Source organism: Homo sapiens, chromosome 1 (assembly GCF_000001405.40).
Source record: "Homo sapiens chromosome 1, GRCh38.p14 Primary Assembly".
Lineage (NCBI taxonomy): Eukaryota > Metazoa > Chordata > Mammalia > Primates > Hominidae > Homo > Homo sapiens.
The window spans coordinates 164307814-164312658 of NC_000001.11; positions in this window are offsets into that span (position 1 = coordinate 164307814).

Here is a 4845-nt window from a genome sequence, read left to right on the forward strand (position 1 = left end):
TGCATATTTCTGGAACAAAGAGATACAAATATTGTAATCACTTTCAGGGTACTCCTGTTAGCATCTCTGCTGAATTTTCTACTCTTATTTCACTTTATGACGCAATTTCTATGAAGCCAAAATTAAGGACTGTCTTTAGTCCGTAAACTCTCCCACTCCTCTATTCAGTATTTCCAGATCCTGAACACATGCCCAAGAGAAGTAAATTTTACCAAAATATGGACAACCATTCTGAAAAACTGAGGACCCATAAATTATTTACACATGCTAGACATTATCTAAAACTCTATAATATTCTGCATTTTCATAAGAGTTGAATATATTTTGATTGATGAGAAGTATTATCTGGATGTTATCACTGTAAGAAATGACCTCATGAGTATAGACTCTACATGATGTTACAAATACAAGTATTCCAGAAAAGTTGGCACAAGGTGACTGTTATGTGGTTTTGCTGAAATTCAAATCAATTCAAGAAACATTTGTTGAATGTGTACTATATGCCAGCCTGGCCACTACTGCATGTTAGTATTACAACAGGGATGAGGAAAAGGGGAAAGGATGAATATTTTCTGGAGCATCTGTTTTGTGTCAATCACCATGCTTGGTATTTTAAGTGCTTCAATTCACATGATCATTGAAATAAATATGAATGGTTAATTTTAATTTTCTCTGCTTTATAGATGGGAAAACTGAAGCTTTGATGGATTAAACAACTTTGGTCTTACAACTATGAAATGACTAGACAGGGTTTCAAACCTAGGTCTAATCCAAATTGAATGCCTCTTTCCATTTTTTCTGAAAAGGCTTCCTTGACCCTCCATATTCTGGGACTGACATTCCTCCTATGTACTCCTATTGCTTCCTGTTCTTCTCCTGTCCATGTACTTGTCATATTTCATTATAATTGCTTAGTTTATAACCACCCAATAAATTTTTTATCAGGAAAGATTTTGGGAGTCTTGTTTGCCTTGGATATTAGTACAGTGACTGGCACATAGTAAGGCCCTAATAACCAACATTGACTAAATATATCATATAGCGTTTCCTCAAAATAAAAATTATACGAGCCATAAAGTTTTCTTTTTGACATGTAAGGAGAAAGCTCTGCAGTGTCCTCTGCTTCCTGTGGGTCCACATGATCCTACTGAATTGAGGTAAACTAGGCCCTCTATGCAGCAGAGTCACTCTGGCATCACCCTGTTGGCATCTGGTCTTGTCTATTCTAAGTGACTACCACCTCTCTACTACCTTTAGTCTGATATAAATGCTTTGAATGTAACCATTTAAGAAGAATTTTTTTTACCATTTTGATTGTACCAGACACTATCCTAGGACAAAGAGCACGTGTCCCACATGTAAGAATCTGAGCCTCCCGGACAGGCGCCTTGACTCACACCTGTAATCCCAACACTTTGGGAGACCAAGGCAGGCAGATTACTTGAGGTCAGGAGTACAAGACCAGCCTGGCCAACATGGAGAAACCCCATCTCTACTAAAAATATAAAAATTACCTGGGCATGGTGGCACATGCCTGAAATCCCAGTTACTGGAGAGGCTGAGGCAGGATTATCACTTGAACTTGGGAGGCAGAGGTTGCAGCAAGCCGAGATTGTGCCACTGCACTCCAGCCTGGGTGACAAGAGTGAGACTCCTTCTCAAAAAAAAAAAAAAAAAAAAAAAAGAATTTGAGCCTCCTTGTAGTCCAACCCAGGGAGCTGGAGAGCCTTTGGCCAAAGAGGTTCTTGAAACATGTGACATCACCTGGGTGATATTTGTGAGAATGCTCAGTGGTCAATACATTGGATTAACAGATAAAAATGGATGGGGGACACCTACAGCTTCTATAAGTAAAGTCTCCATACTTCAAAATGTGAAGCTGGACCAGAGAATTGTTCAATTCCATTTGACTAATATTCTAAGCTTTGATCCTGAGCTGGCTAGCCACAGAGGGATAATTCCATAGTCATCTAGCAAATTAAAATAACTGTTCATTTGTAGAATGAAAATAATACCTACACATAACCTTTAGTTTAAATCAGAGCTGAGATTTTCCACTTTTTGTGGTCACACTACCTAGGTTCAAACTATGAAGTGTATATAAACTGGAGGCTGCAATTGAATTCACTAAGAAAGCAATAACTATTCCTATCCAAGGTAAAGTAGTCTGAAAAAGTAAATTAAAACTTTTGGGTATAATATTGATATTTAGTTGGTATTTCTTTGTAGCCACTACCAGGAAGATCACAAGAGAAATGTCCTATGGAAAGTGCACTATGAAATAGCACCAAAATCTCAAGACACAATCGAAAGGAAAAGATCTCAACTAGAGAGAAGAGAAAGCTTGAATTTCTTGGTGCTCAATTTATCCCTCTGAAGAATCAGGGCTGCTCTTGAACTAATTTGTAAAATAAAAAGCACATGTAAATTTAATGGATTTTATTACATCACAGTGGCAGTATTAACTGCTCATTTAAGGTGGAAAAATAGAATTTCAACTATTTCTGGCAGGAAAAGGACCTCAGATATTTGCCTAAGAATATTTAGTAGGTTAGTCATGAACTGCATACTGTTAGGAAGACATAGAGTACGGTTCAAAAGTGGGTGATTCAAGAGCCTTGTTTATCTAACAGCGTGTATTTGAATTATCATTATTAAATTGAATTGCATTGAATGAATAATGAGCCATTTGATAACAATGTTAACTCAGTGAATCAGTATCTGCCTCGACCCAATCAGATAAATTTTTCACTCATTGAAAGATTTCTGGCCATTTAAGATAAATTATCTAGATCAACCAAAATTTTCAGGCATCCAGATTTCCAATTATGTTGACTTATTATCTTAGAACTTCAGCATATTAATTAGCAGTTTTATCTCTTCTTTCTGTATTTCTTGTTGTTTTTCCAGAGCTTTGTGTTGGGGTTAAATGCTGAGATACTTATGTAAATGAATTAGCAAACCCAGTATTCAAAGCTACTGGAATACAAAGCTGATAGAGATAGGAACTCATTCTTGGAGGCTGTGAATAAAACAAACTCTCTCCTAAGTTCTTTGGTTCACAGAGATACCCTTGGATTCCCAAGTCCATGTAAGAGTCTTCCTTCTGTCATCAAGAGAAATTCAGCCTTGAAAAAGGATACTGGAGCCTCATGGAACACTTCACAACTTAAGAAAAAAAAAAGCCAAACGAGGAATTTGGGGCTTCCAGATTGGGACCTTTTCTCGTGGTAACTTTTCCATATGCAAAAGTCCTCTCATGGCACAAAGGGTAGAGTTAATTACATCCAGCCAATGCAGTAGGTGATTTTGTGATGTTTGGGAAACAAAGCAAATTTTAGAGCCAAAACATCGCTTAAAGATCTTCTAGTATATCTTTCTAATTTTAGAGTCAAACATTAAAGCCAAGTTTGATTAAATAACTAGTTCAAGATCAAATTCAGTGGCAGAATTAAGAATAGGACCCAGACGTGCTAATTTCCTGATACCCACTATTTTACATCACCATTCCTGTTTTTCCTACTTAACACACACACCTTTTATTTTATTTTTTTTAATGAGAAAGAGCACATTTATCCTACCTACCTCTCTTTTGAAAACGTAACATTTTTACCCTCTTGTCAACTCCATCCCCATCACTTGCCTTCTCTTTCTTTCACCCCTAAGCTATTTATGTAGTTAGAAAAAAATGTCTGAAAGCCTCAAGGAAACCAATATTTCTTGCGACATTCAAGCCCTCTCCTGTTCTGATGGCCAGGAATTCCACAGTCAGCATTTTTCTGCTGTTTCTATTGAAACCAGAAAGTAAGTGTAGGAGAAAGTTATCTGAAAATTTAAGAGCAGCAAGAAAAATAAAAAAGTTTAGTTTAAATTTCGTTCTGGAAGCTATGAACTTTTCTATAACAGAAGGTCTTTCATTACGGTAGTGATAGGCAGCAGCAAGCTGGACTCACCGGACTAATTGTTGAATAGACAAATATTAATCAACATCACTCGACAATAAGGCTATCACCTCACTGTGCCATGTGGAGGTCAGCCACCTATCCACTCTATTGGTCAGCTTCCAGTCTGGGGAGAGCATTACTGTTCTATTTCCTGGAGCTCTGTAAAGCAATAAAAGTCTGCTATGCCCTGGAGAAGAGAGCTATGTAAATATCAGTCAGCGTCTTGATGATAATATTTTGGATTTATACAACTTCCCTACTCCAAGGAGCCATGCATCCATAGGATCACTTATCTTGACAGCCTCTCTGCAAACAGAGATGGCAAGTACCATTAACTCCATTTCACAGACGGGAAAGGCGAGATCGAATCTCTACGTTGCTGGGGTCACCCAACCAACTTAGGAGTCATAAGTGATGGTGACACTTTTTTAAACAACGTGTTTTAGGCATTTTAAAACACAAAGAATACTTTTTATTTAACATGGATTTGTCCATAGGAGTCATTGATTTTAATTTGTCATCATTGATTCCTTAGGGACTTTAATATTTTATTTTTCTGGCACCTTCTGGCACTAAAGCTGAGTATAAATATTGTGAACTTTACTTAGATGTTGACTCTCTTTCATTTACTCTCAGGGAGTGAAATAAGCTAAGAATCTCAACTAAAATTTTCCAGGTTTCTTGCACTGGACAGCAAATTATATATGATACATTGGATGCATGATAGATTATAAAGCACATAGAATTTGGAGCCAGGAATTTAGGTTCAAGTTCTGGCTATGGCCATTATAGGTTATAGATTTATTGTTTATCTCATAAAGTTTTATTTTTAAATTTATGATAAATGTATGTGAAAACATTTGATAAATGGTAAAATAATTCAAATATTTGTCAGTTCTTA